We start from the raw sequence: 26,112 nt of genomic DNA on the forward strand, positions 1-26,112 counted from the left end.
ATTTAAAAGTTATTTCCTTGCTGGGTACACCTTGGAACTCTCTGATGAATTAATCTATTTTTATATTTATTGATACAAATTTTAATACTATTTTAAATACTATTAAAAGTTTCATGAGCTTATTATTAAGTTTGTGTGCTAGGAGTCTAGTTTCTGGGCCTTCATCCCCAGAGTGCTGTCTTTGTCTCCTGTTGGTGAGAGGACTTAAAGGAGTAGGAGAGGGGAAAATACACAAGTTGGAGTCTGTGTAAGCAGATTTGGTAAATGAAAATGAGAGAACAGGGTGGCCTGAGGTTTGGGATGATGTCTGAATTAGAGGTGTTCAGCTTTGCCAGCCTCCACAAACAATAGTAATACAGAAGAAAATGTCAACTCACTGCCTATCAGAAAATAGCATAAATAATGCCTTTGACGACTATAGTATCTGTTCTCTGAAATTTAAAGTATTGCCTCACCAAATCCCATAACACCTCCTGTGAAGTGAATAGGATAAGTATTAGCATTTCCACTTGAAACCCCTTATTTCAGTTAGGAGTAGATTAGGGGTAGGGAGAAAAGCAGAAGAACCAGATATCTAGGAAAGAGACTGCCTGATCCTCATGAGGCTGAACTTGTCCACACATCTCATGCCTTTTCACGATCACATGCCCAGAAGACCTGATTCAAATCTTGTCTTCACCATTTAGTACCTCTCTGAGTTTCAGTTTTCTCATGCATAATACAGATGTAATGACAATCATCTAACAGGAATGTTAAATTGGGAAAATATTGGCAAAACGCTTGACACATAATAGGTGTTTAAGATATGTATGATCTCTTCCCTTCCCCGACAGTTCACAAAAGCGAAATTATTATCACATGTTTTCTATAATTGGAAGGGAACAAAAGTAGTAGAATATCCCTAAGGTTGGCAGATACCACAGTCAAACCACACTCCATTTAAGATGTGCTAAACAAGGTATTTAAGAAAGTGACCACATGGGGGAATAAAAGAGACATTTATAATGGCAACCCAAAGAGGCAAACCCCACAAGGACACAATGAAAACTGAAACCACAATAATCTCTAAATAGAGAAGTAATAATTGTAGCCTATATTTAAGTGTACGGGAAGCAAAGGTTTAGGTGGGTAGGGTTGTCTGCCATGGCAATCATGCTTATTATTTCAAAATTTGTGGAGAGAACTAGAACTATTTTTTTTAAGTCACAAAACATTTCAGGTCTTTCCACTCTTATTGAAAAAAAAAAAAGTACAGAAATAAAAGAAGTAATAAAAAGTGAGGCTGGGGAATGGGCCAGGGCAGGAGTATACAGGTAGAATCAACTGTATTGATAAAATTCTTTTTTTTTTTTTTTTTTTTTGAGACGGAGTCTCGCTCTGTCACCCAGGCTGGAGTGCAATGGCACAGTCTCAGCTCACTGCAAACTCAACCTCCCAGGTTCAAACAATTCTCCTGCCTCAGCCTCCCAAGTAGCTGGGATTACAGGCATGTGCCACCATGCCTGGCTTTGTATTTTTAGTAGAGACGGGGTTTCACCATGTTGGCCAGGCTGGTCTCGAACTCCTAACTTCAAGTGATCTGTTCGCCTCAGCCTCCCAAAGTGCTGGGATTACAGGCATGAGCCACTGTGCTCGGGCAACATAATAAAAATTTCTAAGTGGATTTGAAATAGGTGGTCAAGTTACAATAAAAAAGAATCATCGATATCTGCAGGGAGTTCTATCTGCAATCAAAAATGAAATGTGTAATCCCACTTTCCAAATGCTGCCAGAAAACATATTTGCACTTCTGATTTTAGAATCAATAAGTTAGTTAACAAAGAATACAGCTTTGCCCCTGGACACTAGTAAGTTGCTGGATCAGGTGCCTCATACAATTGTACTTATTCAGGGACATAGAGAAGCCTGGTCTCCATCAGGCAGATGGAAACAACTTGGGCTATGGCAGCAAAGGGCACCAGGCAATGGAATAGTCCTGGGCTTGGGAGAGGTGGTCTGTAAATTGCTGCCGTCAGCAATGAGTGGCTAATTTCTTAAATATCCTTGTGAATTTTTAAGAGAAAAAAATACACCAGGATAGACTTAATTGAATGTATGTGATTTAATAAGGATAAGAATAATAAGATTATCAGGGTTTCCAGAATAAAATTTTGTCATGATCTAATTGAGAAATAAAATCAACCAGTGACGTGAGCTGACCCCAAAGAAATAGTACAAATAATCTGAGATCAGCCTTGAAAACCAGACTGCCTGGGGTTTAATACCAGCTGTGTCACATATTCACTATGTGACCTTGGAAAGATGGTTAACTTTTCTGTGCCTTAGTTTACTCGCCTATAAAATGGTGATAATAATGATAGATACTTTGTTTCAGAGGAATATTGCTAGGATTAAATGAGAAAATGTATGCAGAGCATTTAGTTCATTTCTTAACATAGAGCAAAGTCTTAATAAGTGGTGGTAGTTATTCATATTAGAAGATATCAATAATGATAAAAATAGTCATGACAGCGGGTTATTTATTGAGTGCCCACTCTGCACCAGACTCTTGACATAGATGATATGGTATATATATTTTTCCTGCAGATTTACCTTACAAATTGGGTTTAATATTTAAGGTGAGGTTGTGAGCAAAGGAAACCAGACTTTTCAAAGGGACGATGATCACAGTGAAACTGAAAGCATAAATTAAGGAAAGATCAGTTATGCCCTTTTTTTCAGGGACAAGTTTCAGGAATCCAGATTTTCTTTATTTGATAGACACATATGGAGTAACTCTTAGACTCCGCTGGACTAAAAAGAGACAGCTACACTCTCCAGTTAGAAATGGCTGTTCATACTCTGAAACTGATCATCATCTAATGTAAGTACAGTATGGCATATCTCTAAGATAAATGGAGAAAGTGCAACCCAACTGAACGCTGATGGCAGTTGCTTCCTGGCTTGGAGAAACAGCGATTGCATTCTTAGTTTTAACCTTTCTGGGCCCCAAGCTTAGGATAATATAGTCTATTATTGGCCTGTTTCTCATATTATTCTGAAATTTCTAGTGTCTACCTTGTAAGAGAAAAACATTACTAGCCAGGCGCAGTGGCTCACACCTGTAATCCCAGCACTTTGGGAGGCCGAGGTGGGCGTATCACCTGAGGTCAGGGGTTCGAGACCAGTCTGGCCAACATGGTGAAACCTCTACTAAAAATACAAAAATCAGCCAGGCATGGTGGCGGGCGCCTGTAATCCCAGCTACTCAGGAGGCTGAGGCAGGAGAATTGCTTGAACCTTGGAGGCGGAGGTTGCAGTGAGCCAAGATGGCGCCACTGCACTCTAGCCTGCGCGACAGAGCGAGACTCTGTCTCAAAAAAAAAAAAAGAAAAAAAAATTACTGAGTACATAAATATATGTATGAATTTAAATGTACTCCCACCTCCCCAGCCAAAATCCTATTGCACTGAACTTAGGCTAAATTTAACAACATTTAAGTAATATTTATTCATTTAAAAAAATACTTGCTTTATAGGCCCTAGAGATGCAGTAGTAAATAAGATAGACATGATCTCTGACTCATGGGAAGTCAGATAATAAACAAGAAAACAAGTAAATAAATCACAAATCATCAGAAAATGCAGAAAGGAAGGCAATTTGTGAACAGAATGACTCTGACACAAGCCAGTCTTTTGTGAAGCCCTCTTCCAGGCTAATCTGGGCCCAGGATGTATATAGTCTCTGTCCCTCTCAGATGGTACTCCAACATCTTAGGGGAGGAGCCCTAGGGGTCATGGCTTTTCACAGCATGAGAATCAGAAGGAGAGGAAATAAGGGGGAAATGTCATGGCCACATTAGTGTTCGCACACACACACCCAGGAAGGGGTGCCGGCACTATGACCTAGGGTAAGGCTATACTCTGTAGGGGTGTGGCTGTCATCCTGATTCTTGGGAACATGAGGAAGTGAATGAATTTCCCAGGCACTGCAGGTGTCGGTTAGAAAATCCTTGGGGGAACTCTGATTCTTGTTCTTCCCTCTTGGGCTGGGAGAGACCACCTCCAAGCTGGGTGTTTCCAGGGCCCAGCCAAGGTTTTGATAGAATCATAGGACTTAGATGGTCAGAGCTGGAAAGTCCCTTCGAGAGCATTTGACACATCCTCCTCACTTTACAAAGAAGAAAACAAACTCAGAGACAGGATAACCCCAAGTTTAAAAGCTAGCTAGGGACCAGGCATGGTGGCTCACACCTGTAATCCCAGCACTTTGAGAGGCCAAGGTGGGAGGATTGCTTGAGGCCAGGAGCTCCAGGCCAGCCTGGGTAAGAGGAGACCCTGTCTCTACAAAAAATAAAAAAATTAGCGGGGGATGATGGTGCACATCTGTAGTCTTAGTTACTTGGGAGGCTGAAGCAGGGGGACTGCTTGAGCCCAGGGTGTTGAGGCTGCAGTGAGCCATAATGGTGTAATTCCAGTCTAGCCTGGGTGACAAAACAAGATCCTGTCTCTTTAAAAAAAAAAAAAAAAAAGACTCACTAGAGGCTCACCATTTTTTCTTCCTTAACAGAAAGGAAAATTACATTTCCCAGCATTCTTTGCAGCAAGGTTGGGATTTTGTGTTGAGATCTGATCAAAGGAAAGTGAACAGAAGCAATCTATACATTGCCCAGTCTGGCTTTACAAAGGTCCCATATGATCCTCTACACACCTTCTGTCTTCATTCATCAGCCAGCTAAATGCAGACAATGCAGAAGAGAACAAGAAATCCCTGGAAGATGGCAGCATTGCAAGATAGAAGGAATTGGGAGCTCTCAATCACCAGTGAAGAAAGCAGCCTGAACACACTCAAATTCACTGTGATATGTTAATTATTTATTTATTATGTAAGCTACTGCAATTTTGGAGTTATTCGTTACAGCACTAGTGCTCTTTACTCTGATAAATATACTGGCAATTTGGAGACCATGATGGTTAGTTTTTGTGTCAGTTTGACTGGGCCTCAGGTGCCCAGAAAGTTGGTTAAACATTCTTGCTTGGTATGTCTCTGAGGGTGTTTCTGGATGAGATTAACATTTAAATCAGTAGACTGAGTAAAGTAGACTGCCTTCCCTAATGTAGGTGGGCCTCATCCAATCAACTGTAGATCTGAACAGAACAAAAAGGCTAACAGGGAACTTTGCCTGTCTGACTGCTTGATCTGGGACATCTGTCTTTGTCTTCTCCTGGTCTTGAACTGGAACTATATGCAGATAAGTAATCAATATACCATATTTAAGGATCTCCTGACCTCCAAATTCAATGCAGTTTTTAACTAAACAGTTCTGCTTCTCCAAGCTAATAGAAGGTTCCCTAGGAAAGTTCAGATCCATTTCTCACACCTGGAACCTGCCAGTCTTGGACCAACAGTGACCAGTGGAAAATAAACCTCCATATAGACCCCAGGGGGTCCTTAGTGATGTACAAAGAATAAGTGTTGTGGGTGCCCTGAAATCAAATCAGCTAAACCTTTGACACTAGCATTTGGATTGCAAAGAGTCTTCCAGTTCACTGCCCACTGGTTTTTTTGTTTGTTTGTCTGTTTGTTTGGAGACAGGGTCTCACTTTATTGCCCAGGGAATTAAAAAAAAAAAAATATCAGGGACCAGGTCTCATTATGTTGTCCAGGCCGGTCACGAACTCTTTGCCTCAAGAATTCTCCCACTTCAGTCTCCCGAGTCACTGGAATTACAGGCATGAGCCACAATGCCCAGCTCCTGGATTGAAAGAGTTTTGAAGGTCATCTGGTTCTACCTTTATTTTAAACTTTTTATTTTATGTTATTTTATATAGTACCTAAATATATCATGTAAACAATAACCATGCAAAGATGACATGCAAAAATATTACACTGTGGTGGGACTCCCTCAGCCCAGTTAAGAACCTGTTACTCTTGTTTATTAGAGTCCCATGAACAGTGGTTTTTAGTACAGGGAAAGAGGAAGTTGAGTTTGTGTGATGTCTCTGGGAAGGTATATCCAAGAGGTGAAACACAGACAATTCTACTAAAGGTTAATGAAAGGATGGTTTCTGGCTCTCCCAAAAAGTCACAAGAGGCATCCACTCAGATTTTCCTTACTCTAAGAAAAACTGAAGAACTGCTATTGCAGCAAATCTTATAAAGGCGTGCCAATCAGTTCTTCTCAGAAAGGGCAACCTAGGAAATTGTCTAATTCATGTTAAAAGACAGAATTGAAACTAGGCTTCCTACTTTACCAAAAATTAAAAAACTTCTCAATGAAGTTTGTAAAACTAGCATCAAGAAACAAACCTAACTTCCTGCTTTTGGGTCTCCTTTACAGTTAAAACAAATGCAAGCTTTAAAAAACCTTGCAAGATAGAATCCTTCCTTGAATACCAAAAAATGGACTAGCAGAGTAAAGCAGTAAGCATCATATTGTTTTGGGCAGAGTGAGTACTTTTCTCTCCTGTGTGTGTGTGTAATTCTTTTTTATCAGTAAAAGCTCATTGGAAATGAGAAAACAGCAACAGATTCCTATTAGATTAAGTTGCTTAGAGATGAAAAGATCAGGTACATGTACACCACACATACATATAGTGAAACAGTATCAGAAATTATATTTTCAATTGGAAATTTTATTTTACTTATGTCTGACTTTAAAAAGGTAAATAATATTGAATTAATGCTATTTACAAAGATATATTCCTAAAGCATAAGAACATAAAAAGATTAAAAATAAAAGGACATTAAAAATACCATGTAAAAATAGGCCAGCCATAGTGGCTCACACTTGTAATCGCAGCATTTTGAAGGCCCAAGGTAGATGGATTGCTTGAGGCCAGCAGCTCAAGACCAGTGTGGGAAATATGGTGCAACCCCATCTCTACAAAAACTACAAAAATTAGAAGGGTGTGGTGGTATGTGCCTGTGGTCCCAGCCACTCAGGAGGCTAAGGTAGAAGAATCACCTGAGCCAGGGAGGTCAGGGCTGCAGTGAGCCGAGATAGCACCACTGCACTCCAGCCTAGGCAACCCTGTCTCTAAGGAAAAAAAAAAACTTAAAAAAAAAACAACCAACCAACCAAACAAAAAACTAAAGGCAATGAGTACAATAGAATGATGATTAAAAAAGGAATAATTCACCAGGAATACGAAATAGTTCAAAATTTTATGCACCTAATAACAACCCTCAAAATAGGTAAAAGAAAAAGAGTTAACAGAATTCAAAGGAGATTTTTCTCAAGCTCACATGGAAAAAAAAAAAAGAACTTAAAGGAAAAATTTATAACTTAATAATCACCATGAGAAAGTAAAACCTATCTCTCTCAGTGATTGGTTGATTAAGCAGACCAAAATTATTTAGGATATAGAAAATTCGAACAATATAATCACAAGCTTAATCATAGTGGAACTTGCACTTGGCAATTAGAATATATACATTCTTTTCAAGCACACATTATCTATAAAAATTGACCATGGAGAAGGCCACAAAATAAATCTCAACAAATATTAGAGAATTAATATTATGCAAGTCAGGTTCTCTGATCAAAATATAATTAAATTATAAATCACTTACAAAAATTACTGAAAAAACATGTTTAGAATTTTATTTTGCAACTCTAAGCCAGAGATGTTTAGAAATTTTAAATGTACTTCTAAATAATACATCTGTCAAATAAGAAATATTGTTAGATAAGATATAGAAATGAATGACAATGAAAATATGCTGCAAAAACTAATAAAATAGGGACCTTTGGCAATATTAAAGAAAAAAGATAAAGGTACAAATGAACAATATCAGAAAGAAAAATTGAACATAATTATAGGTGGAGTAGACATTTTTTAAAAATCAGAGAACTCTATGAAATGTCTGTGGCAATTAATTTGGATACTTATAAATATGCTGATATATATATATGATACAGCATTTTTTTTTTGAGATGGAGTCTTGCTCTGTCACCCAGGCTGGAATGCAGTGGGGCGATCTCGGCTCACTGCAAGCTCCACCTCCCTGGTTCATGCCATTCTCCCGCCTCAGCCTCCCAAGTAGCTGGGACCACAGATGCCCGCCACCACGCCCGGCTAATTTTTTTGTATTTTTAGTAGAGACAGGGTTTCACCATGTTAGCCAGGATGGTCTCGAACTCCTGACCTCGTGATCCAGCCGTCTCGGCCTCCCAAAGTGCTGGGATTACAGGCATGAGCCACCGTGCCCAGCCATGATACAGCATATTTAAGAAAAAATTAAAAACCTGAATAGACCTATAGTAACTAAAACTTAAATATACCCTCCTCTTTGCTAGCCTTCATCAAAAAAATCCCAGGTGAGTTCTATCAAACATTCAGAGAACATATAATTCCAGTCCTTCACAAATTGATCCAGAAAACAGAAGAAGAAGAAATGTTACCCTGTTCATTTTGAAACATGTTAAACCTTGGGCAGCATAAGAAATAAAAATTATAAGCCAATTTCACTAGTAAGTATAATGCAAAAATCCTAAGTAAAGGTCAGCAAACCAAATCAGCAATGTTGTTTAAATGACTAAGTTGGAATTTATTCCCTCTAGGTGGGGGTTTTTTCCCCAAATAATACAAGGATAATTTAAAACATTAGAGAAAATTATAAATATAATTTGCATGTTGACAAAGGATAAAAGATTAAAAATATATTTATTCTCTCAATAGATGCAGAAAAATCACACAAAAATAATTAAATACCCATTGATTAAAAACACACATACACAAGTGGAAATTCTTACCAAATAGAAACAGAAATTCCTAATCTCATTTTTAACAAGTTATCTACCAAAAACCTACCAAAAACATCACATGAAGTTGTGAAAAACTAAAAATATTTCCCTGGAATAAGGGAATAAGACAAAGATGACTATTATTCAGCCCCTATTCAGTATAGCCCTGGCCAGTGCAGTGAGGCAATAATAAGATGGAAAGAATGAAATAAAGCTATAATCACTTGAATATCTTATGGCTATCTTACTCTGAAAATCTAAAATAATCTGCAAAAACCAAAAAAGAGGGTTCAGCAAAGTTGCAGGATACAAGATCAACATATAGAAAAATTAATTTTGTTCCCATACATCAGCAGCAATGACAAAATTCAATTTTCAAAAAAAGAACTAAGAAAATAAGTTTAAAAAGTAATTAAATTATGCAGACAATGACAAAGTGTTATTGAAAGCCATAAAAGAAGATTAAATAAGTAATCAATATACCATATTTATGTATAGGAAGAATCAATAGCAAAATAATTTCAATTCTCCCCAAATTAAATAATAAATGTAATACAAACCTAAATTCCAATAGAGTTTTTCACATGCAAGAACGAAGGGCCAAAGGTAGCCAGGATACTCCTGAAGAGGATGAAACAGGTCACAAGGCAGCCTTCCCTACTAGCTATTAAGAGTTTATTGTAACTTAAATTATTTAAGACACTATGGCTTTGGCATAGAGATAGACAAAATGACCAGTGGAACAGATCAGCAAGCCTGGAAATAGAACCATACAGAAATAGAAACTTGACATATGACAGAGGTGGCATTACAATCAGAGGGAAAAGGATGAAAATAGCAATACATAATGTTGGGATAATTGGTTATCCATTACTAATGGTGAAGAAAATTTTTAAAATTAGGTCCTACTTTATACTATACACACACAAGTGGATTAAAAAGCTAATGTTTCACGCCTGTAATCCCAGCACTTTGTGAGGCCGAGGTGGGTGGATCACCTGAGATCAGGAGTTCGAGACCAGCCTGGCCAACATGTTGAAACCCTGTCTCTACTAAAAATAAAAAATTAGCCAGGTGTGGTGGCACATGCCTGTAGTCTCAGCTACTTGGGAGGCTGAGGCAGGAGAATCGCTTGAACCCGGGAGGCAGAGTTTGCAGTGAGCCAAGATTGCGCCACTGCACTCCAGCCTGGGTGACAGAGTGAGACTCCACCTAAAAAAAAAAAAAAAAAAGAAAACCTAATGTTACAAACAGAAATTTAAACACTTTTAGAAGAAAATATAGGGAATCTAATGACCACCAGCTAGGGAAAGAGTGTAAATGATATGTAAGAAGCATAAACCATTGAGGAAAAGACTAATACATTTGATTACACACAAAAACAAAACAAGCAAACAATCCTCTCTTCAAAGTGAAAAGGCAAACCATAGACTGGGATAAGTATGCAACACATTTAACTAACATAACAGTGAGCGTTTAGAATATATTTAAAGAACAAATTGATAAAAAGCAAACAACCAACAGAAAAATGGACAAAGTACATGAAGAGGCATTTCATAGGAAAGGAAATCTGTCAGGCCCATCAACTTATAAAAAGATACTCAACCTCACTAGGAATCAGGAAATGCAAATTACAATGACATTCACATCCATCTGATTGGCAGACATGTTTAAAGTTTGACAATACCAAGTGTTGGTAAGATTTGGAGTAACAGGAATTCTACATTGCTGGGGAGACTGTCAATTGGAACAACCATTTTGAAGAGCAGTTTGATAATATCCAGCATTTTCATTCCCAGGAATACATCCTAAAGAATCTCTCACAAAAGAGATACATAAAAGGTTGTTTGCTTCAGAATCATTTGTAATAGGAAAAACTGGAAATGACCCAAACTCTCCCAACAGGAGAATAAATTACCAAGCATTCATCCCATGGAATTCCATATGCAGTGGTTAAAATAAAGGAACTAAACTGCACATATCAACATGGATAAATCTCAAAAACAATGTGTTAAGCAAAAAAACCAGAAAAGTGCAGAAGTATAAACTATGATCCATTTACATGAAGTTAATATGCTAAATTATATATTTACATAATTATATATTTATATATAAATACAATTATATTTTTATTATATTAATTATATATTTATATGATTATATATTATTTATGGAATTATGTATAAATTAAAGGCATACAAATATTCGTGGCAATTATATATACTGATTTTGGTATAATGGATGCCTCTGAGGAGAAAAGAAAGGAAATGGGGCTAGAGAGGAATATATCCCAGAAGAAATTCAACTATACCTGTAACATGTTATTTCAAAAATAAAATCTGAAGTAAATATGGCAGAATGGTGGGTACACTGATGTTTATTATTCTCTGCAATTTCCAGTATGCCTAAAATGTTTTATTCAAAAAGTGATAACATTAAACTTCAGAAAAGACTTTTTCTCAATGATTGATAAGATTCCCAATAAAATACTAAGATTTCAATAAAATTTGGTCATAAAATTGTCCAAATTCTCATTGTGAAATATCTGTTTTAAGTATGTGTCCATATAATAAAAGAGCTATCTAGACAAAAATTATAAAATATAAATATACGCACATGTGCCTAAAGACTAGAAAGGAACAAACTAGAAAGGAACGCATACAAAAAGAACATAAGCTTTTAAGCTAGAAGGATTTAGGGTGCAATTTCTTTAACTTTTTAATTTTTAAAATCTGACTTAATGAATGGGAAAAGGGGGTTAAAATAAACGTATTATATACTTCCTAAAAAGTTTTTTCTGTAGAAATAATAATGGCATTTCTGTAGAAATGCCCAGTAAAAAGTAGTGAAGTCCTTTCAGGATTTCCTCTGAGTTCATTTCTTTCTGTGAAATGATCAGGTTGAACAAACAGGCACACAACAAAGTGACTTGGGTCAAATCACTATCACCACCCAGTTTTCAAGGGCAATGGCAGTCAAGAAGTCGCCGGGGAGTGATACTCTTCTATCCCTTTAATTAAGGCGGGGCTTTTAAAACTCAATTGTTCCATCCGTGTCTCAAATCAATCAGATGAAATTCACCTTTTACGTGGCCTGAATCCTGATAGCTCAGCACACTTGATAGGTAATTTAATCACGTCTGGTGTAGATGAACGCAAACTCAAATTAGCGCTGAAAGAGTTGGTCTTCTCAGAGATAGCTGTGCTTTTCCACTTTTATGCAAGAGCTGAGCTTCACCAACTGGCTAGCTGGAGGTGTTATTAAAAATTTAGTGAAAGAAACAAAGGTGTGCTCTGGTGTCTCTTGTTACCCTTTCTACTGTTACTCCAGCAGACAAAAGGCATAGAGCCTGCCTCATGAATAATGTGACATGGAATATTCACAATCTATTTTTAATGGAGTCAAGTAATAACATTAAGAGAGATATTTGCAATCTTCAAATTTCACACGGTAACAGGCACAGTAATTTGTTTTGATTCTGAACTGGGGATATCAAGATACATTTTTTACCAAAAAAAAAAAAAAAAGGCATACAGTTAACATCAAAATTACAATTCCTCACTTAGAGCATAAACAGGGATAACAAAAATGGACCAAATGTTCTAAACGTCATAAGGGAAGAGCAGGACAGCACAGGCACCTAGATTTCAATCAGTTCTACTTACCCCTCAGTGCAACTTCTTTACTTTTCAAACCAGGTTGGAAATAACCAACCAGTACACAGGGTGACTTCTGTGGGAAGGATGTTTTTGTCATTTTCATTCACTGGGAGGATTGTCTCCCAGGACACTAGGAAGTGGTTCCTGGACGCTGCAACTGTTCATCATCCATCAGTTCTGAAAAACTATCTTAAACTCCATTACAGAGTAAACGAATTTAAATTCTGAATGAGAGTAAACTGACATGGAAAGACATGGTGCTGGAAATCAGGTGAGGACAGCCAAGGACTGAGATTTGGAGAAACCAGAGAAAAGCAGCATTCAAGCCCCCCTTTCCTGCCAACCTGGAGAGAAAGTCGTGTGGATTCTATTTGTTTCCCAGGCTGTCAAGCAATCTCTCTTCCCTTTGTGCTGTAGAGAGCAGAGCCAGGCCCTAGGATGAAGCAGGAGCTTATTTTCTGTTTATTCACTTAACATCTCAGTAAATATTTATTAATCTCCTACTGTGTGCCAGGCACTATTCTGGGAACTGAGGATTCAACAATGAATAAATAAAGCTTCGTAAGACATTGTCCTCACTGCTATATCTCCACCCCCTAGAAGAATGCCCAGCACATACTGGGTGCTCAATTATATGTGTGAAATCAATTTGAGTTGGAAATGGGCAATCTGCTGGTTCTCACCATGGGGCATGCATACCCTGAATGTCTGGCTGGGAGGTGTTAAAGCACTAGTAGTAGGGATTTTGGCCAGGATTTTATTCTGGTTTCATTCTCTTAAAGGATTGACTTATGCAAAAAACTCCCACAGGTGGGACAGAACCAGAAATAACCCAGATCCTCATGGGCCTTTAGATTTGTGACTTGCATTAGGGGAGGCAGCTAACCAATCTCACACTTTTTTTCCTTTCCAGTCTCCACAGAATCAAAGCGGTCAGGGTTGGACAGGAATGACAGAGCTGTCTCCGTATTACTTGATCAAGGAAACCAGTATCGGGGAAGTCAAAAGATTTACACAAGTCACATGATGTGTTGGTGACAGAGCTGTGACTAAAACTAAAACCTAGACCTAAGACCTGTGATTTCTTTATTCATCTGGGAGCCTTCAGGCCCCTAAAAAAATATGTTGACATTTTCAGAGGAAAGAGCTTACTTACGTGCCTGTGGAACCATCAGGGGCTCTACAAGGTAGTAGCTTAGTTTTGTACACCTCCTAGTTTTTCTCTTATGAAAGAAGATGAAAGAAGTATCTCTGAGGTGTAGCAGCAAAGGAGAAAGTATATGGAAACCCGAGCAATTGGATTTTACTCTTCTGGATATTAGCTTGTGTGCTTCACTTTTATACTCCATTGCAGTTTCCTTCAGTGCCAGCTTTCCCCCTACAGACTAAAACAAAGGTCTTCCCCAAATTCCCTGCCTAAAGGAAAGGCAATCTGTAATACTCTTAATACTTTATTAACTTAAAACATCACTCTAATAAATATGTATTAACAAACATAATGCTTACCAGAAGATCTAAAAACATTTACCAACCTCATCAAAGTGAAAATACCACCTTTCCCCCCTCTATGGTACACATGGAGGGTCAAAGAGTTGAAGACAGAGCCTTCCTTCCCACATGCCTGCTAGCTCAGAAATCTTTAAAATATCAGCTTAACAATAAAAAACTGAATATACACACATATCTTTGAAGTAACTGTTCAGCTTTTTGTTTACACCTGATAAAATCCAAAAGGGTCAAAAGGGAAGGTTTACAATTCTGTGCTGTCTTCTCAGAATTCCCTCCAAGAGTAAGAACAGACCCAGCCACTTGGAGGTGCAACCGTTAGCTTTTGAGGAGCAGTCAGGGGTTGTGACTTCAGTCTCTCTTCCCCAATACCTAGCATGGTGCCTGGTACCTTGGTAGCCGGTGATCCATGAACATTTGCTGAGTGAATGAATGACATCTTGTCCACAGGCATTGCTTGTGCTTTTACCTCCAGTGATGAGGTTTTCACAGCCCTACTGAAGGGAGGACCTCTAATCCCCTCTCATTACCAACTTCTCTTCTGCTTCTTCTTGGGGGTAGCCTCGATGGTGCATCTCATGACTTCAAAGTATTAAATTCCTTCCCCAAGTCAGTTTCTGAATCAGTTTTTGAGGAGGAGAAATGATTCCTCCAAGATTTATAGGCAGCACCCAAAAGAAAGGAGTCAACAGACCCCCCAGAAGGAAAAAAATAAAAGTTAACACTCACTCTTCTTTCTAGATAAAAATATTAGCATTTGTCCACCTTGTAAATGGTGATTCCTCCTCTTCCACACAAATATCTGGGGTAGGTCAAGAGGGGGGAGGGAAGAAACCTGAAGGGCATTCCTGTCTGTAGATTAGGGCTGGAAATGGGAAGGACTGTGGGGTCTAAGATTTATTCTGGTCCCCATTTGACTTTGCCTTTGTCTTCAGGTGTAGAGGAGCCTATTTGTGTCCGAAGCCTAGAGAGTCACTTGGTTCTCACTCTCGGCTGCACTTTGAAAAGGTACCTCATTTCTTCTGGCAGCTCCAGGAGGTAAGGCGAAGGAGGAGCAACCTGGTAGGATCTGCAGACTGGACCTGGGGTCTGGAAAGTCAGAAGGGAGTGGAGGCAAGCAGGGAGCAGAGTGGTGGCAAGCAGGGAGGCTGCCCTCTGTAGTGTTGTGTAGCTGCTGCTTGCAGCCAGCCAGGGTGCTCATTTGAGCCCATGCTGCGTCTCCCGGTGCCTTCGGAGGTCCACCTTCCTCTGGAAACCCTTCCCACAGAGGTCGCAGCCGAAGGGCTTGAAGCCTGTGTGTTTGCGGCTGTGGGTGATGAGGTTGGAGCTCTGGCTGAATGCCTTGCCGCACACCTGGCACTTGTGAGGCTTCTCACCTGTGGGGATGGGAGGGGGAGGGGAGAAAGTATGAGTCTATGATAAAGCTAGAGGGGACCCACTGTGACCCACATGCTCTTGGCAGCAGCTGGTTGCACCACAGTCTAAGGCCTTCAAGCAACTTGGAGGGTGACGTGTTGCAACCTGAACTGACTCCCAGCCTGCAATGCGAGTCCCTGGAAGCACCATGGGGGCACCAGGTGAAAGGGAGACTTTCTGAAGGGGGGTTCCCAGCCAAAGGCCTCAAACGGTTTCCTGCTAAACGGAAACAGAGCAAAGGCCACGTGCCCTCCCCAGCTGAATCTACCCCGGGAGGACTCCCCTGACTTTATAAGCCATGAACACTCAGAGCAGATGTTCAACAGGAAGGGGAGGGGGAAGCTGTCCTAAAACCGTGTGACTCCGTTCTAATTCAGAGGAAGTTTTCAAATCTGAATTTCCAAGTGGGTGTTAGTTTGTATGGATCAGTGAGCCCGTCTTCTTTCTTGTTCTTGAAGGACAGCAGATTATATCTGAAAAAACATCTTAACATGGACTTTCTTTCTTTCTTTATTTCTCTCTCTCTCTCTCTTTCTTTCTAAGTTCCGGGGTACATGTGCAGGATACGTTTTTCAATATCTTATTTTAAAAATCCACATTTGGGCCACAAAGGATTAAGGCAGCTGATACTTTACTGTCTTGATTTTTCCTTAATTTTATGGGGTTAATCACATGATTCTTTATATACCAGCAATTCTTCACCACAAATTAATAAATAAGAGAACACAAGAAGGTTTTGTCTTGTTCCCCATCTCATGTGTTGTTGGGTAAATGGCATGAATTTCCAATAGCCCAGCATGGCATTATAGTCAGGGCTCAGCCTTGGAAAAAGTATAAAATAGATGAAGTTTGTTTTTGAGGAACCCTCTGTCCTCCTTGCTAAAAACTCTTTTCTGTTTTCATGCTTCAGATTTCCTTGATAAGAAACCACCCATCAAAATGTATTCTATCCCTTTAGGGTCAAACAAATCTGAGAAAACAAATTCTAGGTATAACGTAAATGTTTGATAAGGGCTTAATGTTTTATTCAGTCAAGATCCTAGTTGCATTTTGATAAGTGTCCTGAATACCTTACTTATAAGGAGTGAATTACATGGAAATTTCAGGTAAGAGGGAATGATTAAAGTAGAATACTTTTCTGGGTTTTCAATGGAAATATATACATTACCCAAGTATATTTATAAACATCAAGGGTGGGTGTTTAGAATACACTGTGATTTGTTCTAAATCAGTATTCATATTCTGCAATAAAATTTTCAGAAATTCTGGGTCTCATGTAAATGTCTTTTGACTATTAGAGTGTTCTTGGCATTAAAACTCCCACCCGCACATAAAGTGTTAGACAAACAGTCCAGGATTAAAAGCCAGAGCATTACATGGCTACATTATTCATTCAGTCTTACTTCTGATAAATCATTCACTCTTTCTGAGTTTCAGGATGGTAAGAGCAGCTCCTTCTACTTTCTTGAGTGGCAATAAGAATCAAATGAAATGATAGATTTGAAAGTACTTTGTAAATTATAAAGCATTATAATAGGTAAGGAATTATCATTATTATGGCATTAACTTGCAGATATTTTGAAAAGGGCAATAAGTGAACAGAAGCTTTCTGTCTACCAACCTCATGACTCTGAACATAAAATACAATAAACAGTGGTCAAGAGTGAACATTTGAGAGGTCAGACCTGAATTTGAGCTCTGGCCCTGTCATTTGCTAGCAGTGTGACCCTGGGCAGATTACCTAGCCTCATTTTTTTCATCTCTAAAATGGGGAGAAGGAGTAGTCGCTACCTCTCAGAGTTGTTGTGAGCATAAAATGAAATAATGCATTTAAAAAATGCTTAGCAGAGAGTTTAATCATATTTGCCATTATTTGTTCCTCTTCAATCAGAATAAGCTCTCAGACTCCTGAAAATGCAGCCGGAGAGTCCACACGAGTCCCTCCCACAAAAGGCCAGGTGGTTAGGGAAAGTCCTCAATCTCTAGGTAAGCTTTAGAGCAACTCTCTAAGAGGACCCTGGAGCTTCATATTTCACCCAGAGCAGGCAGCAGGGGAAGCAGCTGCTAACCTAAAGGAAAATGTTCTTTCCAAGTATAGAGTACCTGTGAGCTGACCTGCTGAGTGGCCTTTCAGACACAACCCCAAATCAAGGTGGCTCTGGGGAGAATTATGCCGGTAAATGAACCAAAGAACCCACCCCTTTGTTTTCTTTAACACAGAGCAGAGAATAACTCCATCAGAAAGGCCTCATCCACCACTCACTGGGGCCAGAAATCAGAGAAGATGAGTAATGTTGGCCTCAGGGTGTTTCCTACAAGCCAAGGGCCTTTTTAGCTCACCAGTGTGGATGAAAGTGTGTTTCTTCATGTCTGACTTCTGGTGGAACCTCTTGCCACAGTACTGACAGGGGTAGGGCCGAGTGTCTGAGTGGATAAGCAGGTGTGTGGACAGTGTGGATGACCTCTTGAAGCTCTTCCCACAGATCTTACAGTCAAAGCTCCGTTCCTGCAGAGAGAGAGAGAGAGAGAGAGAGAGAGAGAGAGAGATGCAGAACTCCTACTGCAGTCAACTAGACTGCTGCTCTCCTCACCCCTCAGCTGACCCTAAAATCCCTTGAACACTTTTTCTTTCTTTTTTTGAGACAGTCTCCTCTGTCGCCCAGGCTTGAGTGCAGTGGAACGATCTCAGTTCACTGCACCCTCCACCTCCCAGGTTCAAGCAATTCTCGTGTCTCAGCCTCCCAAGTAGCAGGGACTACAGGCACACGCCATCACACCTGACTAATTTTTGTATTTTTAGTAGAGATGGGGTTTCACCATGTTGGTCAGGCTGGTCTCAAACACCTGGCCTCAAGTGATTCGCCCACCTCGGCCTCTCAAAGTATTGGGATTACAGGCGTGAGCCACCGTGCCTGGCCCTTCAACACTTTTTCTACCAAAACATTCTTCACCCACAACCTTCCACACCCCATGGCAAATACATATCCACACCCTGCTTTTTTTGACACCCATTAGCACACACTTCTCCACCCTCCTCAACAGGAGGCTTAGACCTCAGTCACTTGAGATGCCACCTCCCCCCAGCCAGTGTGGGTGCTGGGGGAGATGGGCTAATACTCTTTTTAGCCTTCGTAAGTAGGCATTCTCCTGAGATAGCTATTGGCATATTTACTTGCTCATCTACTCTCCATCTCTCAGCTAAACTATAATCTTCATGTGGGCATGCTGTCAAGGACCTGATGTGTTATAAGATTCTTAAGTACTTGGCACCTGGAAGTTAGCCAACAAATATTTATTAATGAATGAATGAATAAATAGCGGCGGTGGGGCATGGTGGCTCACGCCTGTAATCCCAGCACTTTGGGAGGCCCAGGCTGGTGGATCACTTGAGGCCAGGAGTTCGTGACCAGCCTGGCTAACGTGGCGAAATCCCGTCTCTACTAAGAACACAAAAATTAGCTGTGCTGTAGTGGCATGCGCCTGTAATCCCAGCTACTTAGGAGGCTGAGGCACGAGAATCACTTTAACCTGACAGGGGGAGGTTGCAGTGAGCTGAGATTGTGCAACTGCCCTCCAGCCTGGGCAACAGAGCCAGACTCTGAAAGAAAAGAAAAGAAAAAAGAAAAGAAAAGAAAGGAAGGAAGGAAAGAATGAATAGCGGGGTGAATATGCTACTAGATGCTCTAAATGAGCTGAGATTCCTGCCTTTTCAGTCGAGAGGGGTCAATGCAAATTAAGTGACAACCATTTGGTGAAAAGAATAGGCACAAAGAAACAGAGCTAGTAAGTCTGATATATCAGCAGCACGAATCAGTGCATACAAACCTACCTCAAGCCCAAAGTAACAATGAGGATCACACTCTCGAGGCTCACAGTGGTGTGACACCAAAATCCAGGGCTGCCTCAAGGCCTGAGCCGGCCACAATCCTCCTTTCCCTACACACCTGCACCAGGGCAAGGGGACGCAGCGGAGGGCTTGGGGGAGGAAACTGGGGGAAGTCGAGGAGAAAACTTCCAGGCAGAGAGTGGCTGGTGCTGCACCGAGGAGATGCAGAAGATCCCCGAGCAGGGCCGCGCGCGGCGGTGCGCCCCGCGCTTACCTGCGAGTGCACGGCTTTGTGCTGCTCCAGGCTCACCGCGTGCCCGAAGGTCTTGCCGCACATCTCGCAGGCAAAGGGTCTGGTACCGCTGTGGGACCTGCGCACGTGCACCTCGAGCCCGTGCGGCGTGGAGAACACCTAAGGCGGGTGGGGCCAGAGAGAAGGCCGCTGAGAGGGGCCGCGGGGCGCAGGCGAGGCGCGGGTAGGGGAAGCGGGCGCACGGCAGGCGAGGTGGTGAGCTCGGGAGCCTCACCTTGCTGCACTTGATGCACTTGTAGGAGCCGCCGCCCAGCAGCAGGCGGGTGCACAGCAGCTCCGACTCCACCTTGACGCCAGCGCCCTTGTCTGCGTGCAGCCCGTGGCCACGCTCGGGGTACAGCAAGCCCGCCGCTGCCGTGGGCCTCTCATACAGCCCGGCTGCCGCAGACCCGAAGTCGCCGTAGAGCCCTAGGCCAGGGCCAGCGGTGGCACCGGCCCCTGCGCTGCAGCTCCCTGGCGCCCCGGCCCCCGCGCCGCCGGCAGCCCGCTTCGGGCCGTACAGCGCGGCCGGGTGGCCAGGCTCCGGGGCGGGTTCGCAGAAGAGGCCCAGGCCAGCGCCACGCTCCAGGGCCCCACACGGTCGGTAGCTCTGCACCAGGTGCCGCAGGTCAGAACCCGCCAGGCCGCTCCATGAGTACGGTTTGAAAGGCAGGGGGAAGGGCTGGGCTTCGTCCAGCGATGGGCACATTGACTTCTCCGAGGCTGTGGAGGCACAAGGGGAGCGTCCGGTCAGGCTTCAGACGGCAGAGCGGAGGCCGCCGGGCTGCGGCTGCGAGCGTGGCGTGTTCGCGGACTGCGGGGCACCCAGCGCTTGTAGAACACTGCGTGCGCCAGGTGCCAGGCTCGCCCCAGGGTAAAACGTGGCCCGGGCCCTGGGGCCTCGCAGGCCACTATAGGAGGCAGAACAGTAAACAGATCATTGAAAAGACCTCGGGAGAGGAGGTCGTAAATTCTGTGCGAGTGCAGCGGAGGCGCTCGGCGTTCCGAGGATCTTTTCTGGCTGGACCCGCGCACCTGGAGATCCTACAGGGAAGGGCGCATCTATAAATGCCCGTAGTTGAGCTGTTAAGAAGGAGAAGGTGGCGGCCGTTCGGCCCCTCACAGCACTCAAGGGCGGAAGGGTCCAGCCACCAGCGCAGGCACTCTCCCAGCCCCTACATGTTCCCATTCAATTCTTTTTCTTCCCAGAATCCAAGAGGAAGGAGGGAGAAGGTCCATAAATGCGGCCCCGAACTACCCGAAAGGCTGCTGTCTGAATAAACCCGAAGGTATTAAGATTTCACGAAGTTAAGTGCCCAGTGTACGTAGCAAAGGAGCAGCAGGAAAGGGGCTTTTGGGCTTAAATTGACAGCCAAATACTCCCCATTCCTGTTACAGTTTGATGGAGGCGGGGAACCTGAATTTCTCAGAGAATAACTATAACTCATAAGGTTTAGCCACCACCTGCAAGGAGACAGCTCTGAATTCTCGGCCTGCTACGCCCCCACCCACGTGAATTTTGCTAAAACTAGTGACCCCAACGCATGTGAGTGCATACGGCATTTACAAATGTGTGTGTGTGTGTGTGCGCACAACACTCCAGTTCAGGCTGGCCACTTCAGTGAGAGGCTGTACCCGGAGTTTCGTTCGGAGGGGTTCGGGGCGCGCCCAATCCTTGTCTGGCCACTTGACGCCCTGGCAGGAAGAATCCTCCCGCCGCCGGCTCCCAGACACACTTGCTGGAGCTATGGTTTTCGCCAAGTCAACTCACTGATTGTGGGACGGGTGGTGGTATCTTCTAAAACTAGCAAACATATTCTGGATATAACCGGCCCTTGACAGAATCCGGCTGGTCTGCTCATTCCTTCCCCCGGCCGGGACTCGAGACGCCCCCACCCAACGTGTGGTCACTTAGTTTGCCTGAAGCTGGATTGCTCGCTGGAAATGAAACCCAGAGAGCAGGCCCCTGAGGCTAGGTTAACCCGGCAAAACGAAAAATGAAACAGGCCCCCAATCTGCGCCTGTGAAGACCAAGCCGCGGGCTGAGATTTTCGTCCTGCCCCCTCCCTGCCGCCCAGCGCCTAGCTCCTCTGCCTGGCCCGTTCTGCCCTGTTCTCTGTTTGAGGTTTGGGGGTCTAGATTGCAGGATCCTAGCACTTTATAAAACAGTCAGGTCTGGTCAGAAAATGAAAGGTCAGCGTTGCCGCCAGTCGAAACGACTGGTTTGTTTTCCGTCACTGGCCAGCTCCGCGCAAACGAATCTAAGCGACAAGCAGCTAGGGTCCTGCCGCCTGGGATGGAGGCAGCAGCCCCAGCGGGCAAGCTGTCCAAGTCCCAGAGAAGCCGGATGCCTCCTTCCCCTACGAATCAGCTCCCTTCTCCCGGAAAGACTCTCCAACTCCCCGTTAGCATTTCTACGCCCAAGGTCGCGCCAATTCCCCCCCAGCACTGCCGGGTCCCTGCAGCTCCCGCCCAAGAGGTTCCCAGTGGGTTCCTACCTGGAGACGCGGAGGGTGACGGGGGCCTCCAGAAGTCCTCAAACTCCGAGCTCCGTTCGCAGACGCTGCCTTCGCAGCTGTCTGGGGATGCGGAGGCTCTGTCTGGGGCTTCGGTCAGCTGCGATTCGGGGGACAAACGGTCCCGGGGCTCCGCCTTCGCCCCGCCTGCATTTGAAGTGCTGTCTGCAAAGAGGAGGCAGGTGAGGGGCTCAGGCTGGGACCGGTTGAGTCTGAGGGTGCTGAAGGCTCCCCCAATCCCCCGACCAGGGCAGCCGAGCGTCTTCCCCTCTCCACCCAGACCCCGGCCGGGAACCCTCTCGGATCCGAGGGCAGGCGCAGAGAGGCCATGGCACCTAGGAGACAAACCCGGAGGAACCAGGACAGTAGGAAACAAAAACAGCAGCAAAAGGGACGTTGGGGCAGCCCCTCCCAGCTCCGGACTAATGGTGTGCCGAGGTGCAGTAGGCATCCGGGGGAGCAGCCCCGCCTGGCCCGCGCGCGCCTCGCACCTGCTCGGCTAGGCGCCGGTACATTCTCTAAACGGAGGGAATAGTCTGGTCCTGGGGAGCGCGGCTGGTGGTAGCTGTGAGCCTTCTTGCTTTTGACGAGAAATGAGCGCGGCATGGTGGTCCGGCACTTTCCCCACTGCGCCCCAAGAGTCCCTGGAGCCGCTGTCACCCACGGTCACTCCGAGGGCTTGCTCAGCCCCAGCCCGGAGGAGACCTGAGAGGGAAAGAAAACCAGGTGGAGACGTGGGTCAGTACTCTCCGGTGCGGCGGACTGGGCACCCAGGCGGAGGGAGAGCGCGGGCCAGGGAGGCGCGCAGAGGGCCCACGGGAGGAGGGGCTTGACCCTGCTGCGCCGCGCTTACCAGGTGGCACTTGGACAGGTGGCGCGAACCCGCCGTCGTTGCCGCCGCCGCCACTGACACAGCTCAGCGGTAAAACCTGTCCCGGGGCCCTGTCTCAGGCCCCTTTCCTCCTCCCTGCCCACGCCCCCCAGCTCCTCCCCTTTCCTAGCGAAGCTCGCTCCGGCAATCAAACTCCCTGGAGAGCTGTAGTTCCCATCGGGTGGGTTACCCCAACTCAGCTACTCATCGCCTGCCTGGCTGTGCTTTACGGCTGGCGAGGGAGGGCGGGGACACGCGGATCGGTTTAGGGGCCGGGGATGCCCAGTGGTCGAGGACCCGGAAGGGGCAAGGAGCCAAGACCTCCAAGAGCCAGCTACCAACTGGAGTGAAAGGACCGGGGGGAGGGGGGAACAGAACACAAGATAAAACTGTGGGGCGGCGGGAGGACAGCAGCAGAGGGATTGGGGACAGCAGAGGCCAGAGAAAGGAGGTGGGAGAGCAAAGGGACAGGAAAGTGAGGGGAACAACAGACGACCAACCCCCGCCCCAGGAGAAACTCGCATCTGGGTGATCCCACTCGCCCCTCACTAGTGCCCCACGTAGGAGAAACTTTGCCCTTGGACTCCCGGCTGCGGCGGGCACCGGTCGAGGCTGCGGCGAGCCATCCCAGACCATGGAGACCTAACCTCGGGAATCAGGTCCCGGGAAAAAAGCACTTTCCGTTCTGCTCACCAAAAAATCTTGTCCTAGGGAGGTGGAGCCCGATCCACGAACGTTGACTGGGAAATGCTAGGTGTCCCGAGTCGGTAGTGCACCGACAATTTAGCAGACAAAAAAGACAGGACGCCAGAGCGCGCAGGCTGCATTAGCAGAGAGCGGGGGTCGGGCCCGGGCCCGGGAGGGAACTAGCTGCCCGGGGCGTCGCTCTCATTAACCCCCAATCAGTTCACCTAATACCAGGTCGAAATCTGAGCGCAGCGGGAGGGCGTGGCTGCGCCTGCCGCTAGGCTCCAGCCGGCTCCGGGGGCGGTACCCCACAGTCGAGGTGGTCTGGAGTAAACGAATCTGCCTTCCTCCCGGGGTGAAGGCGATGGTGACCGGGTTCACACGTGAGCTGCAGTACAGCAGTTCTCCGTGGCCTCGGCTGGTTCAGAAACGAGGGTGCTGGGAACTCTGGGCCGGGGCAGGACCTGCAGTCCTCCGGCTTCGCGCTGTTTCCACTGCCGGACTAGGAGCCCCTCGGCTTCCTAGGCAAGATGCAGGCCACACAGTCTACGTCTGTCCGTTGGCGCTCTCAGCTCAAACGAGTCCTACAGGCCTTGGTCCCTGTAGGGTGCAGGCCCCCTGCTCCAGATCCCCAGCCCCATTGTGTCCCCTTCTCCGGAGGAATGGGAATAGACCTGGGAGAAAAGACGCCTGGGACGTGTCGCGGGGCTCCCGCGAAGTTTCCCGCTACCCAAGCGCCAGAATGCCCCTAGGGGTGAGAGTGCCATCCGCCTCCCTCCGGGGTGGCTCCTAGGGCTAGAGCTTTGTCGCTTCCTGCACTTCTCGTCCGTACAATTAGACGCCACAAACCCCAAACCCAATTCTTTAAACAGCCACGAAACTCGGAAGAAAAGAAAAACGGAGTGGCGTTGTCCCGAGGGTCCCGCTGCAGCTTGGACCCACGTTGGCTGGGAGCGGGACAGATGGGGGCGGGGTAACTGTCAGCGCCGGAGCTGGGTCTGGGCTGGCGCCACCAGAGACCAGGCGGACGCGGAGGCCGCCTCCCCACCCGGGCTGTAAGCCCACGCCTCTCTCGCACCCCGGCCCGCTTTGCTGGTTCCTGTGGGGAGCGACAGAGTTTGGAGGAGATAGGGGCCCCGGGGCCTGGGCCGAGCGCGTGGGAAGGCAACCCCGCGCTGCAGCTGGCGCGGGAGGTGGGGCGGCCCCTCCGCGCGCTCAGGCCTCTCCTCACCGTCCGGGCCCAGGAAGGAGGGAGCCGAGGGCGCTAAGGGGGCGTCCTCCCGAGCGCAGCTGCCGCCGCCTCCCCACCAGATGTTTCCTTCCCTGGTGGATTTGGCTCCCCTGCCGAACCACCAGACCGCCTGCTGCGCGCCCCCAGCTCCAGATTTCCAGTCACACTGCGCGGGTCGCGCCCTAACCCAGCTGCCGGAGCTCTCTGGGCTCCCGCACGGCGGTCCGCAGCAGGTGGGAAACCGCCCGCGCCCTCTGATCGCCCCCGCAGTGCCAGTGCTCTGCGAGTCCCCGCGGCCGCCCCCACCAGGGCAGGAGGCGCAGAACAGGCTCGGCGGACCTACCTGCGGAGTCACGGCGCGGGCACCGCGCTAGGAGAGTTTTCAAACGGAATCTTGCTTTCGGGAGAGACCGCTCTATCTCTCTGACTTAAAAAAAAAAAAAATTCTCCTTCCGAGCTCAGCCCCCAAAACCACAAGCTTCACTTCCTGAGCGTTACTGAGTCGCTCGCATAGCCCTCCCAGACCTGCTCCCAACCCCCGTCGGGCGGCCGGGCGCGCTCCTTTGCGCAAGTGGCCAGGCGGTGGGGGGCCTGGCCTTTCCAGCCCGTCCCGCGCGCCCCTTAGTAGTCCTCCCAGTTCTCTCCCTGTGGGTCGGCAGGGGATGGGGGAAATTGGAGGTCCGGACACTTAGGCACTAGAAATGACTTGAAAGAAAATGAACTATTCTTGGCTCCAGGGAGACTTCCGCAGCGAGAGAAGCCACAGATTGAGGACACAGATTGACTGGCGAGAGAGGGGTGGGGGGCGCCCCGCTCCGAGGACCCTCCCCGCCCCTCAGGCCTCGGTCACCCGCCCCCCCCACCCCCGACCCCGCCGCCTCCTAGGGCTGCACCACCCCCGGGTCGGGACCGTGAATCACCGGCCCGCGGTGCCGCCGGCCTGGAGCCCGGCGAGTGGCCACGGCGTCCGCAGAGCGAAACCTGCCCCGCAGGCCCCGAAATAGCTTGTTGTGGAAACACTTGGGGATAAATACGCCCAACGAGGCTGAAAATACCTTGACACCCAATCCGAGAGGTTTGCTCATTTCCCTTCGGATTTAGGTAATGGTTAAATTTGGAAGAGGTGGGCGAGCGCCGAGCCCCCGGCGGAGAGGGCCCTGGCGGCGCGTCCCGCGGGCGCCCGGCGGGACCGGTGGGCGCACCCTCCCTGCGCGGAGCTCGCCGGCTCTCGACCGGGTCCGCTCAGCCTTCGACTAATTTCCGGTGGTCGGAGCTGCAAAATTAAAGGCCGCGCGGGGGCAGCGCCGGCGGCTGCTAGGCTGACTCCGCCCTGCCGGGGCAAGCCAGGGAGAGCGGGACCTCGCACGCGGGCTCTGCCAC

General features: G+C 46.2%; 1 protein-coding gene across 6 annotated transcripts, besides 13 other annotated features; it reads right to left on the reverse strand.

Annotated features, from left to right (window-relative positions):
* GFI1 (growth factor independent 1 transcriptional repressor) lies at positions 12,105-25,987 on the reverse strand. 6 transcript variants are annotated; one of them, NM_005263.5, is made up of 7 exons: positions 25,788-25,987; positions 22,435-22,648; positions 21,926-22,108; positions 19,663-20,150; positions 19,410-19,547; positions 17,650-17,815; positions 12,105-15,269 (listed from the first exon to the last, which is right to left on the reverse strand). In NM_005263.5, the coding sequence occupies exons 2-7, from the start codon at positions 22,547-22,549 to the stop codon at positions 15,091-15,093; spliced, it is 1,269 nt and encodes a 422-aa protein (NP_005254.2). In that variant the 5' UTR covers positions 22,550-22,648; positions 25,788-25,987; the 3' UTR covers positions 12,105-15,090. The 6 variants fall into 6 exon arrangements, with proteins under 6 accessions (NP_005254.2, NP_001120688.1, XP_011539548.1 ...); NM_001127216.3 differs by lacking the exon at positions 25,788-25,987 and adding an exon at positions 25,076-25,161; XM_011541246.3 differs by lacking the exon at positions 25,788-25,987 and adding an exon at positions 24,733-25,161.
* Positions 15,129-15,358: an enhancer, noted in NCBI's record as "active region_1314". NCBI's record gives its function as "activates an Ori minimal core promoter by ATAC-STARR-seq in GM12878 lymphoblastoid cells {active_cell/tissue: GM12878}" and the evidence as "EXISTENCE:reporter gene assay evidence [ECO:0000049][PMID:35858748]".
* Positions 21,444-21,533: a silencer, noted in NCBI's record as "silent region_1070". NCBI's record gives its function as "represses an Ori minimal core promoter by ATAC-STARR-seq in GM12878 lymphoblastoid cells {active_cell/tissue: GM12878}" and the evidence as "EXISTENCE:reporter gene assay evidence [ECO:0000049][PMID:35858748]".
* Positions 22,170-22,769: an enhancer, noted in NCBI's record as "H3K27ac-H3K4me1 hESC enhancer chr1:92948665-92949264 (GRCh37/hg19 assembly coordinates)". NCBI's record gives its function as "activates a minimal SCP1, AML or CMV promoter by ChIP-STARR-seq in naive H9 embryonic stem cells {active_cell/tissue: H9 hESC(naive)}" and the evidence as "EXISTENCE:reporter gene assay evidence [ECO:0000049][PMID:30033119]".
* Positions 22,170-22,783: a biological region, named in NCBI's record as "H3K27ac-H3K4me1 hESC enhancer GRCh37_chr1:92948665-92949264".
* Positions 22,654-22,783: a silencer, noted in NCBI's record as "silent region_1071". NCBI's record gives its function as "represses an Ori minimal core promoter by ATAC-STARR-seq in GM12878 lymphoblastoid cells {active_cell/tissue: GM12878}" and the evidence as "EXISTENCE:reporter gene assay evidence [ECO:0000049][PMID:35858748]".
* Positions 23,370-23,970: an enhancer, noted in NCBI's record as "H3K4me1 hESC enhancer chr1:92949865-92950465 (GRCh37/hg19 assembly coordinates)". NCBI's record gives its function as "activates a minimal SCP1, AML or CMV promoter by ChIP-STARR-seq in primed H9 embryonic stem cells {active_cell/tissue: H9 hESC(primed)}" and the evidence as "EXISTENCE:reporter gene assay evidence [ECO:0000049][PMID:30033119]".
* Positions 24,564-24,743: a silencer, noted in NCBI's record as "silent region_1072". NCBI's record gives its function as "represses an Ori minimal core promoter by ATAC-STARR-seq in GM12878 lymphoblastoid cells {active_cell/tissue: GM12878}" and the evidence as "EXISTENCE:reporter gene assay evidence [ECO:0000049][PMID:35858748]".
* Positions 24,564-25,243: a biological region, named in NCBI's record as "H3K4me1 hESC enhancer GRCh37_chr1:92951066-92951666".
* Positions 24,571-25,171: an enhancer, noted in NCBI's record as "H3K4me1 hESC enhancer chr1:92951066-92951666 (GRCh37/hg19 assembly coordinates)". NCBI's record gives its function as "activates a minimal SCP1, AML or CMV promoter by ChIP-STARR-seq in primed H9 embryonic stem cells {active_cell/tissue: H9 hESC(primed)}" and the evidence as "EXISTENCE:reporter gene assay evidence [ECO:0000049][PMID:30033119]".
* Positions 24,944-24,993: a silencer, noted in NCBI's record as "silent region_1073". NCBI's record gives its function as "represses an Ori minimal core promoter by ATAC-STARR-seq in GM12878 lymphoblastoid cells {active_cell/tissue: GM12878}" and the evidence as "EXISTENCE:reporter gene assay evidence [ECO:0000049][PMID:35858748]".
* Positions 25,094-25,243: an enhancer, noted in NCBI's record as "active region_1315". NCBI's record gives its function as "activates an Ori minimal core promoter by ATAC-STARR-seq in GM12878 lymphoblastoid cells {active_cell/tissue: GM12878}" and the evidence as "EXISTENCE:reporter gene assay evidence [ECO:0000049][PMID:35858748]".
* Positions 25,614-25,723: a silencer, noted in NCBI's record as "silent region_1074". NCBI's record gives its function as "represses an Ori minimal core promoter by ATAC-STARR-seq in GM12878 lymphoblastoid cells {active_cell/tissue: GM12878}" and the evidence as "EXISTENCE:reporter gene assay evidence [ECO:0000049][PMID:35858748]".
* Positions 25,814-26,023: a silencer, noted in NCBI's record as "silent region_1075". NCBI's record gives its function as "represses an Ori minimal core promoter by ATAC-STARR-seq in GM12878 lymphoblastoid cells {active_cell/tissue: GM12878}" and the evidence as "EXISTENCE:reporter gene assay evidence [ECO:0000049][PMID:35858748]".

This window comes from Homo sapiens, chromosome 1, assembly GCF_000001405.40.
Source record: "Homo sapiens chromosome 1, GRCh38.p14 Primary Assembly".
In the NCBI taxonomy this organism is placed as follows: Eukaryota; Metazoa; Chordata; class Mammalia; order Primates; family Hominidae; genus Homo; species Homo sapiens.